The sequence below is a fragment of the Homo sapiens genome, chromosome 10, assembly GCF_000001405.40.
Source record: "Homo sapiens chromosome 10, GRCh38.p14 Primary Assembly".
In the NCBI taxonomy this organism is placed as follows: Eukaryota; Metazoa; Chordata; class Mammalia; order Primates; family Hominidae; genus Homo; species Homo sapiens.
The window spans coordinates 53739730-53763070 of NC_000010.11; the positions used below are offsets into that span (position 1 = coordinate 53739730).

Here is a 23341-nt window from a genome sequence, read left to right on the forward strand (position 1 = left end):
TGAACCACTGGCTGATGGAGTAATCAGAGTGCATACATCTTTTTTTAAAGTACGCCTTGTTATATGGGTGTAGTTATGGCACCCCAAAACAATTACAATAGTAACATCAATGATCATTGATTACAGATCACCATAACAGATATAATAATAATTAAAAAGTTTAAAATGTGAGAATTACCAAAATATGACACAGACATGAAGTGAGGACATGCTGTTGGAAAAAATGGTACTGAGAGAGTTGCTCCATGATGGGTTGCCATAAACCTTCAATGTTTTAAAAAATGCAGCATCTGCAAAGTACTGCAAAGTGAAGTACAATAAAATGAGCTATGCCTCTACTAATATAAGTGGCTTTTAAAATGTGAAATAGTAATTTTTGCTAAACCACATAGTAGAGCCATAGCATAATTACCTCAGTGGATTGTCTTGTTAGACTTCAGATTAATTTTGGATATTTTTATTTTCCCCTGTAAAAGAAGTTTCCAACTTACCTTATTAAGTCATTTATGGGGCAGGAAGACTGAGAGGGGTCGATGTGTGAGAAATGGTACTTCCTCTCTTACAACCTAAGCACATCAGTAAAATGTTTTTGAGATACAGGTAATTTACCTTGAAAATTTAGATATCAAAGTGTTTATGCACATTGCAATATCAACAATTATGCCTGTATTTTCTTCCACTGTTGAGTGGTTAAAAAATAAAATCTGACAAAGAAAAAAGTGAGTGGAATAAAAATTCCCCACTGTCGAAAATGAGAATTATACTAGTACATTTGTCAAGAGTTTTTCTATTATATCAGTGCCCAGCATTAAACTATTGGTAAAAATGAGGCCAGGCACGGTGGCTCACTCCTGTAATCCCAACACTTTGGGAGGCCGAGGTAGGTGTATCACTTGAGGTCATGAGTTCGAGACCAGCCTGGCCAACATGGTGAAACCCCGTCTCTACTAAAAATACAAAAATTAGTCTGGTGTGGTGGCGTGCACCTGTAGTCACAGCTATGCAGGTGGCTGAGACAGGAGAATCGCTTGAACCCAGGAGGCAGAGGTTACAGTGAGCCGAGATCGCACCACTGCCCTCCAGCCTGGGAGACAGAATGAGACTACGTCTCAAAAAAAAAAAGAAAACTATTGGTAAAAATGATGAGAGTTTAGTTAAACTGTATTAAGTCTGTTGTTAAATGTGTTATGCATTCTACAAAATATGAAGATCTATCTGAACACTATTTTATAACCATCTTGCAATGATTAACCTATTGCATGAATATAAACCTCAGTAAATGTTAAAGAACTAGCCCAGATAAAAGGAGCATTTGAAATGACTAAGTTCTTCAACAAGTAAAAAATGTTATATTTTTACAAAAAGTTTTAAATTATTTGATTAGCAGCTACTAATAATTGAAGCTATATGCACTCTGCATAAAAAATTCTAACTTAAAAAATGAGTTAAATTATCTCAAAACCTGCTGTGTTCATTCATTTTTTAGTAATGCAGAATCCCTGTAACTGCTAAATGTCTGTTTTAACTTCTCATATATTGCACTTCTGTGATGAGAATAATTAAGATATATGCTTTTTAAAAAGCATTCTATCACTTATGCATTTACTCTGTCAAACGTTTTTAAAAATTTAAATGCCAAAAAAAGAAAAGTGGTATTTTTCTCTTAGATTGTATGTCCACTTACCTTATAATTAAGGGCTCTCACAGTGCTGAAGTATAGTAGTGTATGTAGTTGAATACAGAAGGCATTTACAGCTGAATAGCTGCAGAGAAAAAGGGGAAAATGGGAATCATGGGCAAAACCAGATTAACATAGATAATAACAGATTTTTTATGCCAAATGGTATTCTCAAAATTGGTACCTTTATGACTTTGCTGGTATTAAAATTTAAATTCTTACAAGAAGATAATTTACCTTGAATCAAATTTACCTATAAAACAATGACATTTGTAGCAAATTCTGTTAATTCTGAGAAATAAAAAGAATTTTTCTACTTCATGTCAAGATAATTTCAAATAACTTGTAGCTAGAGTTTTGCAAAGGAAAATTTTGCTATGTAAAAATGTTGCCTTAATTTCATAATCTAAGTCAAAATGTGTGCTTCTTTATCACTAAACAACAGGGACTAATTATGGAAATTTTCAGTGAGGTTGAAAACTTTTATGATTTTATTCTATTTGTATTAAGAGCAAGGATACCTGATACAATGCTTTACTTTTCTTGGAAAGCATGAGGACTCTAGCCTTGAGCAGCTCCTTTATAAATGTTACCTATTGACTGCTCAGTGAGCACCCATATGCAGATGCTCCTTGACTTACAAGGGGCTTACGTCCTGATAAATTAAATTTTCACCTTAACTTTAAAATACTGTTAAGTTTAAAAATGCATTTAATACAAACTTATCCTAGCCTACCTTAAACATGCTCAGAATACTTACATTAGCCTACAGTTGGACAAATGTATAATACAAAGTCTATTTTACAATAAAGTGTTGAATAGCTCACGTAATTTATTGAATACTGTACTGAAAGTGAAGAACAGAATGGTTGTATGGGCACTCGAAGTAAGGTTTCTACATAATGTGCATGGCTTTCACATTATTATAAAGTTAAAATAATTCAAAACATTGAAAGTTAAGGAATGTTTTATTTCCCCAAAGATAAGAATGAAAATAAGTATTTGGAAATATTCTTGTATCTCCAAATGACATGTAGGAAATTCTTGTTGGTTAAGATCATATGTCCTGAGTCAAAAAAATCTGTTGAGAGTTGACCTGTAAATTTTTGCATTTGCTTTTATCAGAAACTGTTAAAGAACTTCAATATATTTAACAATTCATAAGTAATCTATCTTTTAATCATTTGCAAAAAAGAAAATAGATAAGAGCAGTTATTAGAGAAAAATAAAATATTCTTTATGTATGTTTGAAGAAAAAATGAAAAAATTGTGTCATATTCATTAATTTAAACAATATAAACTAATACTGTTTGTATGAAAATACCTTTGATTACTCAGTTTTCTTAAATATTAATGAATATATTGAAGATTCACCTGTTTTAGTAAAATGTTGATCAGACATTTCATATTTTAAATTCAATGGTAGAAAATACAGTCAAGCAAATTTGTGAAATATGAGCATGAAGAAACAAATTTAGCTTTAATTCTTACCTGTTCTGATTAGTTAGTAGGTGAATTCATTATTTAGCAACCTGAGTATTGAGTATTTTATATCGTTAGCACCTCTTATCAGCAGAGAAGTGTGTTATAATATAGAGCCTGAACAACAAAGCTGTTATAAGGCCACACAATTTGTTTTATAGTTTCTCATTAATTACAGCTAATTCCATGCTTAAAAGGGTATTTATTTTTCTGATTTTATATTTTCTTTGATTAAAAGGGAAGCTAATATAATTTTCTATTTAAATTTTCTTAAGATAAATAGCATGTAAGGTTTACCTCTGCAGCTACTTACTAGCTGCCTGACTTTGGGCAAAATCCTTGATCTCTCTGTCTCACTTTTCGTATCTGTAGATTGTGGATAATAATAGTACATTCTTCAGTGGTGTTTTGTAAAGATTAAGTAAAATTATCCAGCAAAAATGTGCATAACATAATTTCTGGATTATAGAAAGATAAAATTAAGGCTCTCTATCATTTTTCTTACTTATTATAGCATACAATGTACATTTTTATAAGAATCTTAGGAAGAATTTATGCTCATCTTACTACTGTGTATTAAGGTACTTTGCTTGAAAACTGTTTTCTCTTTAATCTTAAAGCCTAAAAATCATGTTATTGGTAAGCGTATTAATCCATTCTCCACTGCCATAATGAAACACCTGATACTGAGTAATTTATAAACTGAAGAGGTCTAACTGGCTCATGGTTCCAATGGCTGTACAAGAAGCATGATGCCGGCCATCTGCTCAGCTTCTTGTGAGGGTCAAGAAACTTACAATCATGGCAGAAAGTGAAGAGGAAGTAGGCTCATCTTACATTGCTGAAGCAAGGGCAAGAAAGAGAGGTGGAGAGGAGGTACTACACACTTTTAAATAACCAGGTCTCATGAGAACGGTATCATGAGAACAGCACCAAAGGGATGGTGCTTAAACCATTCATGAAAGATCTTCCCCCATGATCTAATCACCTCCCACCAGGCCCTATCTCCAATATTGGAGATTACCATTGAACATGAGATTTTGATGGGGATATGGATCCAAACCGTGTGATTCCACCCCTGGCCCCTCCCAAATCTCATGTCCTCACATTGCAAAATACAATCATCCCTTCCCAATAGTCCCCAAAGACTTAAGTCATTCCAGCGTTAACTCAGAAATCCCAAGTCCAAAATGGCATCTAAGACAAGGCTAGTCTCTTCTGCCTATGAATCTGTAAAATCAAAATGAGTTAGTTACTTCCAAGATACAATGAAAGTGTAGGCATTTGGCAAATACTCCCATTCCAAAAAGAAGAAGTTTGCCAAAATAAAGAGGCTACAGGCCCCATGCAAGTTCAAAACCAAACCAAGCAGAGCAGTCATTAAATGTTAAAGCTTCAAAATAATCTCCTTTGACTCCATGTTTCACATCCAGGGCACACTGATGTAACGGGTCGGCTTCCAAGGCCTTGGGCTGCTCTGCCTCTGTGGCTTTGCAGGGTTCATCCCCTGTGGTTGCTCTCAGGGACTGGCATTCAGTGCCTATGATTTTTCTAGGTACAGGGTGCAAGCTGCTGGTGGACTACCATTCTGGAGTCTGGAGGATGGTGGCCCTCTTCTCACAGCTCCACTAGGCAGTGCCTCAGTGGGGATTCTGTGTGGGGACTCAACTCCACATTTCCCTTCTACGTTGTCCTACTAGAGGTTCTTCATGAGGGTTCCATCATTGCAGCAGACTTCTGCATGGACATCCAGGCTTTTCCATACATCTTCTGAAATCTAGGCAGAAGCTCTCAAGCCTCAGCTCTTATACTCTGCACTCACAGGCTTAACAGCCTGTGGAAACCACCAAGGCTTACAGCTTCCAAACTCTGAAGTAGTTGCCTGAGCAGTACCTGGGCTCCATTGAGCCACAGCTGGAGCTAGAGTGGCTGGGATGCAGGGAGCAGTGTCCTGATGCTGTGCAGGGCAATGAGGCCCTGGGCCTGGTCCAAGAAACCATTCTTCCCTCCTATGCTTCCTGCCTGTGATGGGAGGGATTGCCACAAAAGTCTCTGAAATGCTTTCCAGGCTTTCTCTCCATTGCCTTGGCTGTCAGCACTTGCCTTCCTTTAGTTATGCAAATATCTGCAGCCTGCTTGAATTCCTTTCTTGCAAATGGGCTTTTCTTTTCTATTATATGGCCATGGTACAAATTTTCCAAAACTTTTAAATATAAGTTTCAGTTTCAGGTTACTTTTTTGCTCATGCATATGAGCATAGGTTTTTAGAAGCAGCCTGGCTACACCTTGAACACCTTGCTGCTTAAAAATTTCTCCTGCCAGATACCCTTAATCATCACTCTAAAGTTCAAATTTCCACAGATCCCTAGGGCAGGGGCACAATGCACCAAGGCTCTTTGCCAAAGGATAACAAAAGTTACCTTTACTCCAGTTTCCAATAAGTTCCTCTTCTCCATCTGAGACCTCATCAGTTTGGCCATCTCTGTTCACATTACTATCAACATTTGGGTTACAACCATTCAATAAGCCTCTAGGAAGTTCCAAACTTTCCTCATCTTCCTGTCTTCTTCTGAGCCCTTCAAACTGTTTTAACCTCTGTCCATTACCCAGTTTCAAAGCTGCTTCCACATTTTCAGGTATCTTTATAGCAATGCCCCACTCCTCAGTACCAATTTTCTATATTAGCCTATTCTTGTACTGCTGTAAAAAAAAAAAATACGTGACACTGGATAATTTATAAACAAAGAGGTTTAATTGGCTCATGGTTCCATGGGCTGTACAGGAAGCATGATGCTTGCCCTCTGCTTGGCTTCTTGGGAGGCCTCAGGAAACTTACAGTCCTAGTGGAAAGTGATGGGAAAGCAGCCTCATCTTACATGGCCAGCACAGGAGCAAGATGTCAGGGGGAGATGCTTCACACGTTTAAACAACTAGACCTCGTGAAAACTCTATTATGAGAATAGCACCAAAGGGATGGTGCTAAACCATTCTTGAAGGATCCACCCCTATGATCCAATCACCTCCCATCAGGCCCCACCTTTAACACTGGGGATTATAATTTAACATAAGATTTGGATGGGGACACGGATCCAAACCATATCAGTAAGATTGCCTAACTGCTAGATATTTTAGGGAACTATTTATGATTCTCTCAAACATATCTGTATTTATCAGGATGGGCCAACTTATGTGTTAGTAACAATCTCCAAATTTTGGTAGTTTAGTTTATTTAAAGAAAATTCTAGCTAGTGCAAAGTCTCTAGGTCAGCATTCCTTCATGCGTTTGCCCATCCTTCTAAGCTGCTTTGATTTTATGACACTTCATATTAATTAGTGCCCTGATGATGTGGCAGTGCAAGAGAGAACTGCACGACAGCTTCTACATGCTTTTAACTGGAAGCGACGTACCCCATATTCACATTATATTGGCCCAAGTCAATTACTTGGCCATGCCAAGTGATTGATATGATTCGAATGTGTGTCCCTGTGCGAATCTCATGTCAAATTATAATCCCCGATGTTGGAGGAGGGGCCTGGTAGGAGGTGATTGGAACATGGGGGTAGACATCCCCCCTTGCTGTTCTCATGAGACCTGGTTGCTTAAGTGTGTGGCACCTCCCCCTTCTCTTCCTCCTGCTCCGCCCATGTAAGATGTGCCTCTTTTCTCTTTGCCTTCCACCATAATTTTAAGTTTCCTGAGGCCTTCTTAGCCAGGCTTTCTTTACAACCTGTAGAACCATGAGACAATTAAACCTCTTTTCTTTATAAATTTATAAATTACACAGTCTCAGGCGGTTCTTTTTAGCAATGCAAGAATGGACTAATACACTGATCTTTAAGGAGACAGGGTAAGACAATCCTCCCTTGTGCTTAGTGGGGTGAACTGGATAACAGTAAAGAGCAAAGATGCTTAACAAAATAAAATAAATTTCTTAAGAAAAATACTTTGCTATATTTTATGTTTCCAATGTTGTTTTTCTTTCACTCTTACATGTAATTCATATCACCTTACATTATGCATCTTAAATTTTGCTAGAGCAAGATGAGATAAAATGTGCCTTCAGAGAAGGGAACTTTGTCTTATTTGTAGTAGCCTCAACACCTGTAATAGTGCTTGGCAAAGATAGAAATATATTAAGTTATTATATTAATCAGCAAAAGATCTTAACAAAAGGAATATTTTTAATAATGAAAATAACTATTAGCATATACTTTAATATGTTTTGTTTTGTACATCCTCATGGACACAAACGGAAAAAGTTACCTGAGGTCACATGACCAAGCAGTAGCACTTACAGATGCCATCAAGCTGTCTCATAATCCAGTGCTATGATTAAGTCACAAATTAAATAAGTAAGGTGGAGGGGAGAAGAGAAATAGATAAAAGAAGCAGAAGTAAAGACATCATAAAAGAATACTGTCTTATTTCTAGGTAAGTGACAAGAAGTAATTCATAGATATTTTTCTATTTGAGAGACAGAGTTCTCAGTACTAAGATAATAAAAGATGAAAGGACTTCCACTTCAATGATAATATATGTAAGAAGAATATAAATAGCTTTTTTTATTGAAATGGAGAGTGTAGGTGTGAAAATTATGCATATGCATGTCTGTGGCTCTTGAGGAATGAAATTATCTACGTGGGTTGAAGGTACCAGTAAGCATTAAGCTCTGAGTACTTAGAAAAACATACAAATATTTTAAAAATAATTTTAAGGAGTGCTAATAGTAGTGGAAGCAATAAATTTAAAAATTATCTTCCAAACAAACATTGCTCCTTCTGTGGGAAACATGATGAGATATTCTCATTCACTGCTGTAATAATGATTCAAGTGTGTAATATTCTATTTAACTTAGCAGACCTGCAAAGTACTGTCTTCCAGAAAAACAGATGTTTCTTCAAGGAATACATGAAACCTGCTATTAAAATTATCTATTTCTGTGGAATATACTTAGCAATCACTAAAAATAGAATTATTATTTTTTAAAATTTAGATACTATACTAAAATATTTCAGTATTAGCAAATACTGAATTTAATAATATCCCATTCTCTTCACATTATCAAAGATGTTGTGATTTACATAAATGCAGCTGATAGTGTTTTTTCTTTCCTTTTTTGTTGCAGCATAACTTAAATAGAGTAAAATTCACCTTCTTATATTACAGTTCAGTGAGTTTTGACAAATATATATAATCATGTAAGCACCACCAGAATCAAGAAACAGAATGGTGGCATCACCCTCTAAAAATCCCTCATGTCTTTTTGTGCTCAACCACTGCCCGTATCCTTAGCCCGAGGTAACCACTGATCTGTTTTCTGGTGTTGTAGTTTTGCCTTTCCAAGAAGATCCTATAATTATAATTCAACAATATATAAACTTTAACTCTGTCTTCATCACAGCATAATGCATTTGAGACTTACTCATGTTTTTGCATGTATCAATAATTAGCTTATTCATTTTTGTTGTTTGTTGCTTAGTAATATGCCGCTATGTAGATATACCACAGTTTGTTTATTTACTTCTCAGTTGAATAATATTTGGGCCATTCTACCTTCTGGTGATTGTGAGTAAAGCTTCTATCAATGTGTGTGTACTTACTTGGGTAAGTACCTGGCAGTGGGATTGATGGGTTATATATTAAGTGTTTGTTTAGCTCTGAAAGAAATTGTCAGCCAGGCATAGTGACTCACAGCCTAAAATCCCAGCACTTTGGGAGGATGAGGTGGGTGGGTCAGTTGAGGCCAGGAGTTTGAGACCAGCCTGGCTGATATTGTAAACCCCATCTCTACTAAAAATACAAAAAAAAAAAAGTACCTGGCCATGGTGGCACATGCCTGTAATCCCAGCTGTTCAGGAGGCTGAGGCACGAGAATCACTTGAGCCTGGGAGGTGGAGGTTTCAGTGAACTGAGGTCATGCCACTGCACTCCAGCCTGGGTGACAGAACAAGACTCTGTCTCAAAAAAACAAAAATAAAACAAATGAACATAAAATAAATTGCCAAGCTTTGTCCAAAACAGGTGTCATTTTGCATTTACAACAGCAATGTGTAAGAGTTGCCTTTGCTCAATATCCTCCTCAGAATTTGGTATTTGATTATTTGGTAATTGATTAACATGATAACAATAGTCATTATTATTATTACTTTAGCCATTTTAATAGGGCTGCAGTGGAATCTCATTGTAGTTTTAATTTTTTTTTTAAATACAACAATATTGAGTATCACTTCATATGCTTACTTGCTATCCATTTGTATTTACTGAAGTGTTTTTTCAAATTTTGTGACGATATACTATTGGATTGGTTTTCTTCTTACTGAGTTTTGAGTGTTGTTTATATATTCTAGATACAAATCCTTTATCATCTAAGTGCTTTGCAAATATTTTCCTCTGGTCTGTTCCTTGTTTATCACATTTTCTTAAGAGGAGAAATGTTCAATTATGATAAAATCCAATTTATCATTTTGCCCCTTAACTGCTAAAAGTTTATAAGTCTCCCAATCTTTGCTGTGGGATGGTGTATGTGCTGGCACACACCTGTAATGCTCAGGCAGGTAGCTTATAACTCTATCCCAGCCCTCATTTCTTGCTTCATAGAGCCGCAACATGTGGCCTTCTAGATTCCTAGGAATATATTGGACCTTTGCAAAATGCTTAAAAACTCATTCCCCAAGTTTTATTTTTATATTTTTGGTCACTTTTTCCCCCCAACGAGTTATCACTGCCATGGGCAGCTGCAATATTAAGCAATTGCTGCTGATTGTTTTTGACAAATGCCTTCAGAGGAAAGGCTGTTTGCCCTGACTGAGCTTTCATTTAGGTCAAATAAAGAAAAGCTGGATGAGGGGGATTTTGAGAAAACTGCCAGACAAGTCAAATAATGACAATTTTCTGAAAATAATGATTTTGGAGAGCTCCAAACCTGTTTTGCCACCTCCAGTGGCTGCTGTTTTTCACCATGATTTAGTAGCCACTGTTTTTCAGTGTTACCGCAAAGCTGTGAAAAGACAGATGAAAAAAAAGTGAGTTAAATATTCTTAACAAGATTCAGCATTTTGTTTTAAATAAATACTTCTTTGTTACAAGCCTTTAGTTGTTACTAGAGTTTTGAAAAAGTTGGCATTGACAATTCTTCCAGTGTTCTCATTGTTTCTATAGAGAAGCGACATTTTGCAAATTTGTACTCCACCATTCCTGCTGATGTCTGCAAATGACTTCTTGTTTCAAGTTCTCTAAAAGCTACATTTGTGGTTTAGCTTTTTTTTTCTTAACTTTATAGACATGAAGCCAGTCATAGGTCAATCACCAGAACCACATCTCTTGGCCTTAATATAAAATTATATAATACTTTTAACAAATGAATATTTTTATATTATGAAACCTCACATTTTTAACATGAAGCCTCTGAGGATCTTCAGACTCATGCCATGTAGTGTCATGTCATTCCTAACTGACTAATGGGATCTCTCTTGGTAGGTTGTCTATGGTTCAAAGAACTTGTGTGATGGATATATTTGCTAGTACAAAACAAGGATATGCCTGCATGTCAGCACAGTTCACCTTTCCTCACAATGAGAGTAAAGGAGTAAGGGCTAGTTCTTCTGTTTGAGGGTCTGCCCATGAGTAATGAGAAATGTACAAATAATTATTTAATGACAATATTTAAATAAATACTGAATGAAAAAATATTGTGTGATCCGGAAACTGGTGAAGGATATTTTTCTGGTTATCTATTGTTGCATAGATATTGTTGCCCTCAGAGATGGCAAAAATACATAAAATAAGTGGAAAAAACTCAAATAACGTTAAAAAGTCACGATATCTCAAGTTGCCTGTCTCTGAAAACTTCCACCTTAGCACTTTGGGGCCAAAATAATCTTCCTTACACTAATACTACTTAGTCCTAGAGCTGTGTTGCCATGTCAACCACCCTCTCTATTAACTCTTACTTTCACCTAGATTCAAATCTTTATTTTCTAATATATCTATTGTTGTATACATATCTGAGATCAGCATAATTGCAGTGTATCATACTGTTTACATTAATGTGTTTTTGAGTCAAACAATTTTAGGTTTAAATTGTATTTCACAGCTTATTAACCATAAGATCACAGGCAAGTTTCATAACCTCTCAAAACTTATTTCTCCACATTTATAAAATGGAAACAATAATAACTAACCAATTCAGTTATGTTGAACATTTAATGATAATTATAATAGAAACACAATGATAGTACAAGACCCAAATCCCTTGTTTCCACCTGTAAAATCCAGAAATGTTTGAAAACTTAAGATTTGGAAAGGTATATTTGGTGTCAAAATCTCACATGAAATGTAGTGATGTAATGCTATTTTACATATATGTATAAATAATTTAGATAGGGTGGTCACGTAAGAGTTCTCTGATAAAACGTTCTGTTCAGAATGTGTGTGTGTATATATATACACACACTGTATATATATACACACACTGTATATATATATACATACACTGTATATATATATATATACACACTATATATATAGATACACTATATATATACACACTATATATATACACATATATATTCTGTGAATATGTATACACTTTCTGCAGAATTATTAATGTATTTAGTTCCCAGACTCAGCCTTAAATTAATTATAAGATTTTGTGGACCTGCAATAATAAAGTACCTTTAATTTTATTTTGTTTGTGTTCTTTCTTACTTCTTTAATAGAAGGAGAGTAATCTAAGTAGCACTGTGGTGGATGTTAACTGAGGCTAACCTTTGTAAGGAATTAGGAGGCAGAGCTCTCATCTCTTCCAAGATGTGTTTTCAGGCTGTGATGCTAAAAGGTAGAATAGGCAAAGCAATGTAGATATGCAGCTTTATGATTTCCCAACATTGATTTGAAATGAAACAGTGGGAGAAACAAGCAGAATTCAGAAGCTCTCTCAACATTATGTCTCAGTTAGACTCATATAACTCATATTCTTCCTTGAACTTACTCAATTTTTGATGGCACAAACATTTTATTAATTTTTCTCCTATTTTCCTCTGGTCTTGGCCTCAGTGAACTATGTATAATTACAGAGTTAGTTACTCTTTATCAAATTTGGAGGATTTTTCCCCTTCAAAATTTAACATAAAATGGGAATCTCATTGCCAAAAGATTGGAGGATGTATGAGGACTTTAATCTCAGTTGTGTGCTGTGCTTATTTTGTTCAGCCTCCAACTGTAATCTTGCTGCTCTTCATTTTTGTGGTCGCAAAAATGTAAATATTCTTTAGGTCCTCCCTGCTGATATTGCTGTGATCTATAAGTTCCTGTGGATCTGTACACATTCCCCTGCATTCTAGTTTCACTTGCAATATTTCCTTAGTCTTGGTACTATTTTTTTCTTGAAATTCAAAACAAATACATTCCACTCAGCAATTATGACTATTATTATTAATCAGATGAAAAAGCTATGGAAGTCAAGACTTTTTTTTCTTTGTGAAACATTGCCAAGTACACTAAAACTAAACTAAAATTAAATTTAAAACAAAATAACTTAAAATCTTATTTATTTAAATAACAATTTTACTATTAAAATAAATTAAATATTTGATCTAAATTAGATTTCTGCTTATAATAGTTTCTAATCAGGATGACCAGTAGTAATAATGCATTTTTAAAAGTAGAGGAGAAAAAACTCATTTATTGTAAACATATATTTATATATTTAATTACTTTTTAAATTCAATAAATAATCCTTTAATTAGTGTTAGTAGTGGAACACATCAATTCAACTCACAGAATAACATCATTCTATAAGCACAAAAATTAAAAACTAATGAAGTCAATTGTTAGCTTTTAAAAGAATAGGCTTATGTATACCACAGATAAACACATTATGTAGTATTTTACGATGAGATCTAACCATAAAGATACTAACAATTACTGTCCCATAAACTAAATGTGTCTTTTAAATGAAAACTTTCATGCAATTGAATTAAATGTATAAGGCTGATTCATTGATTACAAATAGATCTAGAAAATAAAAAAGAAACACATTATCCTGGGAAAAGTATTGTGCTAAACAAAGAAATGTGCAGGTATCATATCAATGAGTTAACTCAGTGTTCTCATATACTAACTAAACATCTCAAAGATGTCAGGAATCAGTCTGTGCATACATAAATTCAAAAAATAATATTTGTAGTGGTGTGTAGTAAAGATGTCTGTCAGAGTATATTTTAATTCACTTCAAAATTTTAGTGTAATTTAAATTTTTAATTTTCAACAATATTTTTTCTACCATAGTGGTATTAGTCTTTTCTCATGCTGCTAATAAAGACATACCTGAAACTGGATAATATATAAAGGAAAGAGATTTAATTGACTCACAGTTTCACATGGCTGGGGAGGCCTCAAAATCATGGCAAAGGCAAAGGAAGAGCAAAGTCATGCTTTGCTTTGCTCCTTTATAAAACCATCAGATCTCATGAGATGTGTTCACTATCATAAGAACAGCATGGGAAAGACCCACCCCCATGATTCTATTACCTCCCACTGTGTCCCTCCCATGACACGTGAGAATTATGGGAGCCTACAATTCAAGATGAGATTTGGGTGGGGACACAGCCAAACCATATGAGTAATTAACACAAAATACTGATTTTGAAAGCAGAAATTAATAACAGAATATCCTAATTAATTTTGGCTTAACTTTATTAGGGTTTTGAAAATTGATTGCCAATGTAATTTTTTATTGACTTAAAATATATAATTTTTCATTTTTATCATCCTGTGTTGTATGTTTTCTCTTTCTATATAATTTATACATTTTTTCTGATAAATGATTACTAATTTTTATAAGACAATGACCTCTAATCACTAATTTAAATGTTTTCTTTAGAGAATAAAATTATACACATTTTATTCATCAACAAATGTTATCTTAAGCTTTCATGAAGGTATTTACATCTAACAAGTGAGAGCTTTTTATGGGATCTGCTATTTAATTTGGTGTTCTATTTTCTTTATATTTGTAAATATCTTATAATTTACATTCAATTGCAATTGGTCAATCACCACCAAATTTCACAGTAACTCCTATGTGAAAATAGTACAATAATCTTAATGCTAACTACCTGTTCACATCTTTTCCCATGAAATGATCCTGTGGATTTTCAAGAAGTCCAGAACTTGAGGCAAATATATAGATTACCAGGAAGAGAATCAGAAGTTCTTTAATCATGGGTTGCAGAACATCAAGCTTGAAATTGGCAAAAAAAAAACAAAAAAAAAAAGAGAGGGAAAAGGAGGAAAACCCAACTATCTTCTGCATTAAAAAATACAAGCACATTTTCACTCAAAAAGGATGACCTAAAACCTTTAAATCTAATATTGATTACAGAGAAATTATTTCGTTTTATAGTGGAAAATGTATTTTGAAGGCAAATTCTAACTAGATTAGAATATTAGAAATTCTCAGGCACACTAGCTTTTGATTGCTGAAGTTTCAGTCTTGCAAAGCTGTCAGCAAAATTACATAAATCTTATTTTTAAATTTCTACAAAGGTGGTCTGAACAATTCTTATTAGTTATTACTTTTTCAGTCCCCAAACATCTTTTCTAAATAATTCATTTCTAGGCATGCCTATTTTTACTGAAATATGATAGAGGATACTTCATTCAACAAAACTCATTGAGTTTGCGTGTTATAACTACATCTTCATTTGGTAGAAACTTGCTATCTATAAAGTAAACCATTTTGTTTATTCTTCATTTCTTTTTTTTTTTTTAAAGAAAACACTGATTAAACACAGTAAGAAACTACAATGTGAAAAATTAGACATTGGGAGCCAAAGCTGCTTTCGAAAAGTTTGCCTATCAAGAGAGGAAGCAAAATAACAGTTCCTCGAAGCAAGTACTGTGGAGGGAATACAGTGAAATACTTTTGAGTTAAAATTATTAAGCTGAAAGAGTAATGGCTAGTAATTCATTTAGTGGCTACTCTGTTACATCTACTTCATCTCACTTGGTCTTTGCAAAATTTAATTAAGCTGATGATATGATTTCAATTAAAAATTTAAGGAGACTGAGCTACTCGGGAGGCTGAGGGAGGAGAATGGCATGAACCTGGGAGGAGGAGCTTGCAGTGAGCTGAGATCGCGCAGCTGCACTCCAGCCTGTGTGACAGAGCAAGACTCCGTCTAAAAAAAAAAAAAAAAAAAAAAAAATTGAGGAGACTGAAGTGTAGTGAATTTATGTAGCTGTTCACTGATGCTTAGCTACTGCATTGAAGGGCCAGTGCCTCACATAGAACTTGGCACACAGGGTATGCCCCCAAAATATTTGTTAAATTATAGTTAACAAGAGTGAATACAAAACAGAGAGAGATAGAAAGAAAAGAAAAAAAATTTCTTTGAATGGAAGGTTTATACTCTTTTTTTCTATGCCATGTTTATGGTATACTTAGATTTTCTTTTTAAAGGATAGGACAATTTTGAACTCTCAGTTACATATGTTAAAGTACATTTTAATAAAAATATTCCAAAATATCATTGCCTCCCAAATCATTTTGGCATCCAAAAATGTGCGAACACATATTGTAGAAGTGATAAGAACCTTTTTCTTGTTACTGTTTTCCTTGTAACATCACTTAATCTATGTACTAAAACTCCTACCCTGAGCTTCAATGAACACATACAAGACTGATTTGCTCACCCTGAATTCCACAATAGAACAACTGGAGTTTAGATTTATAATGAGATAGATAACTTTATAATGAGATAGATAAAGATAGAAGCAGGGATTATGACAGCTCATCTTTACTCATTAAATATTATAACCAGCAGATGCTGTCTGTATCTAACAAAGACAGTAAGATAAATAATCACTTTCAACTCGTTTGTATTATTTTGTCCTCCTTCATCTTCTATAATTCATAAAGCTACTTGATAGCATTTCGGAGCTGTCTTAAACTTACAACTGTTATATAATTTAATTTCACATAGCTGGGCCACCTTATTTAAATTCTCATTACTTTGACATTTTCAAAACTTATGGAGTCATCTGAGATTATCTTAGTTTGCCAGAAAATTATTGAACATAGTTTGGATCCATTATAAAAGTTTGAAAATCATTACCTTTGAAAATTTTTGGTTCAATAAAATCACAGATGCTGAAAACCTTCAGTCATTCATCTTATATCTATTTCTTTAACATTTTCTGACACAGATATTAACATTGTACCTAAATCCACAGAACTAGAGAGTTCTTACATTGAATATTTCTCTGATAAAAAGGGAGACTCATTATAGTGAAACAGCACATAACAGTAAAAATCCCTAATTTAAACTGAGGTTTGTTGCTTGATAATTTTTTTTTTAAATCTTCCTTAGATATCTGTGGACAAAATAATTAGAACAAATTGCTTCCAAGATGTCAATATAGGGGAGAAGTAGAGTTGCTATAATTAGAAGCAAGAGCACTATTTTCAGCTTCTGTTTCTTAAAATGCAGCTTCTAATGCTTCTTTTCAGTGACCCAATTGTTTTGATATTTGCATATAAGCAATCTAGTCCTCTTATCTGATGCACATTGACTAATTTACAGGTTCACTTTCTTCACTTAAATCTTCATGTTACTGTAAAAGGATAAGAAATTTCTGTACTGCAGAACCCATGTTGATGATTACATTTGTTCATATCTGACACAGAAATGAATGAAACTTTGCCAGATTACAATAAAGCCAAATATTTGCCTCAAATGGAAGAGACACTGCTGAATGACATAAAGTCTTTTTTGGCCTTCTTTTGTACTACAATAAATAAATTTAAGTTTGGTTTGTAAATTTCAAGCATACAACACTGGGAAAAGGACCCTAAATTTTCTATCACATTTTGGAGCACAGGCACTCTCTCCTACAATACCTGTTGCATTGATTGAAGGGATTTTCATCCCTGTCACAGATTAAAATTACAGTATTCCTCCCTTTGTCTTTGGTTTTGCATACTGTGCTTTCAGTTACCTGTGATTAAATATGGTATGAAAATATTACATGATAAATTTCACAAATAAATTGTTCATAAGTTTTAAATTGTGCACCATTTTGAGTAGCACGGTAAAATATTTCCTTGTCCTGCTCCATCCCTCCTCATCCCACTTGGGGATCTAAATCAGGATCTGAATCATCCCTTTGCCCAGTACAAAGCTACAATAATCAAAACACTATGTTACTGGCGTTAAAACAGACACAAAGAACAGAATAATGGGCTCAAAAATAAACCCATGCATATATTATCAACTAATCTCCCACAAGCGTGTCAAGAATACGCAATTGGGAAAGGATTCTGTGTTGAATAAACAGCGTTGGAAAAACTGAACATCCACATGCAAAAGAATGAAATTAAACACTTTTCTTACATCATACAGAAAAATAAACTGAAAATGGATTAAAGACTTAAATGATTTGAAATAATGAAACTCATAGAAGAAAATATAGAAAAAAAAAGTTTTTTAACATTGGCCATGGCAATTATTTCTTGGATATAACATCAAAGCTACAGGCAAAATACCCAAAAGTAGACAACTGGAATTACATCAAAACTAAAAAGCTTATGAATGGCAAAAGAAACAATAAAAAAAGTGAAAAGGTAATATACAGAATGGGAGAAAATATTTGTAAACCATAGATCTGATAAAGAGTCCATAACCACAATATTTAAGGATCTCCTACAGCTCAATAGCAAAACAAACAAAAACAACAAAAAATCATGTAACCCAATTGAAGAGTGAATAATAAAATCCCTAAATATACATTTCTCCAAGGAATATATAGAAATGGCCAACAGGTACAGGAAAAGGTGTTCAGTACCACTAATCATCATAGAATGTAAATCTATAACTAGATATCACCTCACACTTGTTAGGATAGTTATTATCATAAAAACAAAAAATAACAAATGTTGGTGAGAATGTAGAAATACCACTGCTGAAAAGGTAAACTGGTGCAGCTGCTATGGAAAACAGTATAGAGGTTTCCCAAAAAAATTAAAAATATATCTACCATTTGTGCTAGCAATTTCATTTCTGGTTATATATCTAAAGTAATTAAAATCAGGATCTTAAATAAATATATGGATTACCATGTCATTGCATCACTATTCTCCATAGCCAAGACATGGAAGCAATCAAAATGCTCACTGATGGCTGAATTTATAAATCAAATGTTATATATATACCATTAACTAAGCAGGAGGCCATTGGCCTCAGGCTATCTCATTACTTTGAGTTCCTATATAACCAACAGCAACCTAACTTACGAAGTAAACAATCGAAAATATAATTAGGACTATAACAAACACTTGAGTTTCAGCCAATTGCAGACAGCCAACCGATCAGACCATGCCCCAAAACCCAATGTCTAAATGTAGACAAACAGGTGATTTCTCCACATTTCTTCCATGTTCAGCCTATAAAAGCTTTTTGCTCATGCAGCTGGGTGGAACTCTCTGAAACTCCTCTGGTTCTTAGTGCTGCATGGTTCGTGAATTATTCTTTGCTCTAAGAAACTGTATTAAGTTTAATCTGTCTGTTTTTTTTAAATAATACATACAATGAAATTTTACTCCACATTTAAAAAGATGGAAATTCTTCCATTTGTCACAAGATGGATGAACCTAGAGGACATTATGCTAAGTGATATAAGCCAGACACAGAAGGACAAATACTATATGATACAACTTATACAAATATTTTAAAATAGTCACACTCATAGAAGCAGAGAGGGGAATGGTGTTTGCCATAGGCTGGAGTGAGAGGGAAATGGAGAGGTATTAGTCAAAGGGTATAATGTTTCAATTACACAAAAGGAATACATTTTATTGATCTACTGCCTATTGTCTATAGTAAACCATATTGTATTGTATACTTAAACAATTGCCAAAAGTGTAGGTCTTTTGCTAGATGATATTAATACAAACAAAATAATAATGATTAAGGAGGACAGGAGAGGGAATGCATACGTTTATGATATAGATTCTGGTAATGGTTTTATAGGTATACAATTATCTTCAAATTCATCAAGTTGTATATATTAAATATGTATGGATTTTTATAGGTAAATAATATCCAACAAAGTAATTTTTAAAGAAAATATATTACTATGATCCATTAGATTATTTGATGAAATAAGTAATTAAAAGTGAAGTAAATTAAGAAAAGTACTGCTTCAAGTTCCATACTTATATTGAAATCTGTATTAAATTAACAAAGATACTGCCTAAAGTTTTATATTTACTTTTTACAGAACTTTTAGAAAATGAAGAATTAAAAACATTTATAATGTAAAGACTAGCTAAAAAAATCTATGGCAAACATTATTTTCAATGGGAAAAAGTTTTAAACATAGTTTAAAGAGAAAGAACAAGACAAGGACTTCCATTATCTATGCCTTTGCTCAATATGTTATGTAAAATATGTTAAAAACAATAAGAAAAAGGAAAAAAGTTAACCATTTGGAAAGGAGGATATAATTCTATGGTCATTTCCAGAAAACATAGAGACCTATATAAAGTCCAAGCGACCAAAAACCTTTTAAAACTATTAGAAAATTGTAACAACATTGCAGAATACAAAATCAATAAGTCAGGGACATTTTGCCACAACATTAAGAATGATTTATATAATGTAATAAAAAAGACTTGCAATTTACAACAGCAACAAAAACTATAAAATACCTAGGAATCAACTTAATCAAATATTTAAGTATATTTATAAAGAAAGTTTTTAAATGCTATAAATGTGTGAAAAAATAACCTCCATAAATAGAAAAATATGGCAAATTAAAATAGTGGAAGTTTTAAGAATACAAAGATCATGTTTTTCCTCAATGGTATGTTAATGAAATTACAGCAAAGTTTTTTTTCTATGAGGAGGATATATTCAAAAATTTATAGAAATAATAGTTTGGTTGGGTCTTTTTGGTGGGTGTTGGGGGAGAGCAAGGGCATTATAAGAAGAAAGGGAAAATCAGATCCACCCTAACAAATAGTAGGTATTAATAACAACCAGTAGGTATGAATAAGTCTCAGTGTCTTAGTCTATTTTCTGCTGCTATAACAGAGTACTACAGAGTGGGTAATTAATAAACAATAGAAGTTTATTTGGCTCATGGTTTTAAGACTGGAAAATCCAAGATTGTGGGACCAGTTCTTGTGAGTACCTTCTCCCAGTGTTATAATATGGCAGAAGGCACCACACGGAGGGGAGAGAGAGGTAGGGAGAGAGAGAGAAAATTGTGCTGAACTCATCCTTTTCATCAGGAACCTACTCCCTGATAACTAACCAACTTTCTCACTAACGGCATTAATCTATTTATGAAGGCAGAACCCTCATCACCTAATCACCTCTTAAAAGTCTCACCTTCCAACAGTTACAATGGCAATTCAATTTCACCTCGAGTTTTGCAGGGGACGTTCAAACCACAGTAATCAGTAATTAAAATTTGAGACCAGACACTTGGAAATTAAATAAAACAGTTAATTCTTTTATTCTATTGGCAGCTACACATAACCTACATGTAACACTTCTATATCGTGATGTGGAGAAGTATTCCTTTATTACGTATGGATAGTCAGCTCTCTCAATAATCCAGTGAACTACTCAGTGTTTTCAGTAAACTCCTTTACTGCTGAAGTCAGCCTGACTCAGCTTGCATTCTATCTTTGCTAAATGTTGTAAAGGCTTCCACCTTTCACTTTTCAACAGCTTTTGTGCCGTTAATAGTTATCAAAAAAAAAAGATTTATCCACAAGATCTTCAGCATCATAAGCCTATATATAAAATGAGGTTTCAGAAACCTACAACCCTTCATCATGATCCTTTCCAACCAAAGGTTTCAACTGTTGTGTAGAGTCCCCAAAGCACACCTTGTATAAGCTCAGTATTTCATTAGTATACAATATCTCTTGCTTTTGCTTTTCCCTCCAGTCTTACCTCTGTCTTAATCCATTTTGCATTGCTATAAAATATCCAAGGCTTGGGTAATTTATAAAGAAAGAAGGCTTATTTGACTCACAATTCTAGTGCCTAAAAAGATTGGGCCTCTGAATCTGGTGACGACCTCAGCCTGCTTCCACTTTTGGCTGAAGGCAAAGAGAAGCTGGTTGTACAGGTTACATGGTGAAAGAGGAAGCAGGTTGGGGTGGGGAAGGTGCCAGAATTTTTTTCAACAATCAGCTCTTGCAGGAACCAATAAAGTGAGAATGCATTCACACTAGGGCATTAATCTGTGCGTGAGGGATTGACTTTCATGATCCAAATACCTCTTATTATGCCTGAACTCCAACCTTGCAGATCAAATTTCGACATGAAGTTTAGAGGGGATAAATATCCAAACCATAGAAACCTCCTTCTTGTAAAATTCTTATAGGCAGCACTGTTTCAAAGAATTTTGCTACAACTGATATTGCTGATAGGGTTCTAGGTTTGGGTACCCAAATTCATGTCATTGATGTTGGTGTTGATGTTGCCTGCTGATATCCCCAATGCCTATAGTTGTCCCTGAAGAGGCCAGAACTATGGTGAGATGGCCTTGTCCCTAAGTCTGTGCCCTGCTTTGTCAGCTGGTCACTGAATCAATGTTGCTTGTATTTGAATTCTATGAGGTCTTTCAAGTAATGGGCTCTTCAGTTTCTGATTTAACCTTTTTCTCTGGGTTCAGTACCAATTCAATGAGCCAAGTAAAGCAGATTTAGACTGCCCCATAGCAACTGCATTCCATATTTTTCAGATGTACATGGAAACAAGAACAATCCTTCCTACTTTTCAACCCTCTCCTCAATAAAAAAAAACACAACATTTTCTATTTATCACAAATAAATTTAGATGTCTTATTTTGGGCTCCCCCAGAACACCCTAATACCCTTAAGAAAATATATTACTATGATCCATTAGATTATTTGATGAAATAAGTGATTATAAGTGAAGTAAATTAAGAAAAGTACTTAATACTTTTCTTAATTAAAGAAAGTAATCTTTCTTTACTTTTAAAGAAAGTAATCTTTCTTTACTTTTAAAGAAAGTAATCTTTCTTTACTTTTAAAGAAAGTAATCTTTCTTTACTTTTAAAGAAAGTAATCTTTCTTTACTTTTAAAGAAAGTAATCTTTCTTTACTTTTAAAGAAAGTAATCTTTCTTTACTTTTAAAGAAAGTAATCTTTCTTTACTTTTAAAGAAAGTAATCTTTCTTTACTTTTAAAGAAAGTAATCTTTCTTTACTTTTAAAGAAAGTAATCTTTCTTTACTTTTAAAGAAAGTAATCTTTCTTTACTTTTAAAGAAAGTAATCTTTCTTTACTTTTAAAGAAAGTAATCTTTCTTTACTTTTAAAGAAAGTAATCTTTCTTTACTTTTAAAGAAAGTAATCTTTCTTTACTTTTAAAGAAAGTAATCTTTCTTTACTTTTAAAGAAAGTAATCTTTCTTTACTTTTAAAGAAAGTAATCTTTCTTTACTTTTAATTAAGTAATTTCTTAATTAAAGAAATTAATTAAAGGCTTCACTTTTGGTCAGTTGACTGGGTGGCTGGGTTCACTTTACTCATGATGTTCCTAGGAGATCTTTCAACTATCTAACAATGTAAATGCTCATGGCAAGGTCTTGGTGGCAGTCGTTGTCTACCTGCACGCAACCACTTACTTATAAAGCTGTGATAGGGCATAGGTATTTGTCCCCTGGAAATATCATGTTGAAATGTAATCTCCAGTGTTGGAAGTGGGGCCCAGTGGGAAGTGTTTGGATCATTGCGGGTGGATCCCTAATGAATGGCTTAGCAACATCCCCTTATTGATGAGTGAGTTTTTTGCTCTGAGTTGATGTGAAACTGGCTCTTTAAAAGTGTGTAGCATCTCCCCGCTGTCTCTCTTGCTCCTGCTCTCGCCATGTGATATGCTGGCTCCCCCTTCTCCTTCAGCGGTGATTGGAAGCTTCCTGAGGCCTTCACCAGAAACAGATACCAGCACCACACTTCCTGTATAGCCTGCAGGACCATAAGCCTATTAAACTTCTTTTCATTGTAAATTACCCAGTCTCAGGAATTCCTTTAGAGCAATACAGAAATGGACTAACACAAGCTGTACAATGAAATCAGGCGGGTATAAGCACTGATTTATTTTGAGATTTAGGAAATACTTTGAGGCTTATATTCA

At 34.0% G+C, this 23341-nt stretch overlaps 1 annotated feature.

Annotated features, from left to right (window-relative positions):
• Positions 4822–5501: an enhancer, noted in NCBI's record as "NANOG-H3K27ac hESC enhancer chr10:55504311-55504990 (GRCh37/hg19 assembly coordinates)". NCBI's record gives its function as "activates a minimal SCP1, AML or CMV promoter by ChIP-STARR-seq in naive H9 embryonic stem cells {active_cell/tissue: H9 hESC(naive)}" and the evidence as "EXISTENCE:reporter gene assay evidence [ECO:0000049][PMID:30033119]".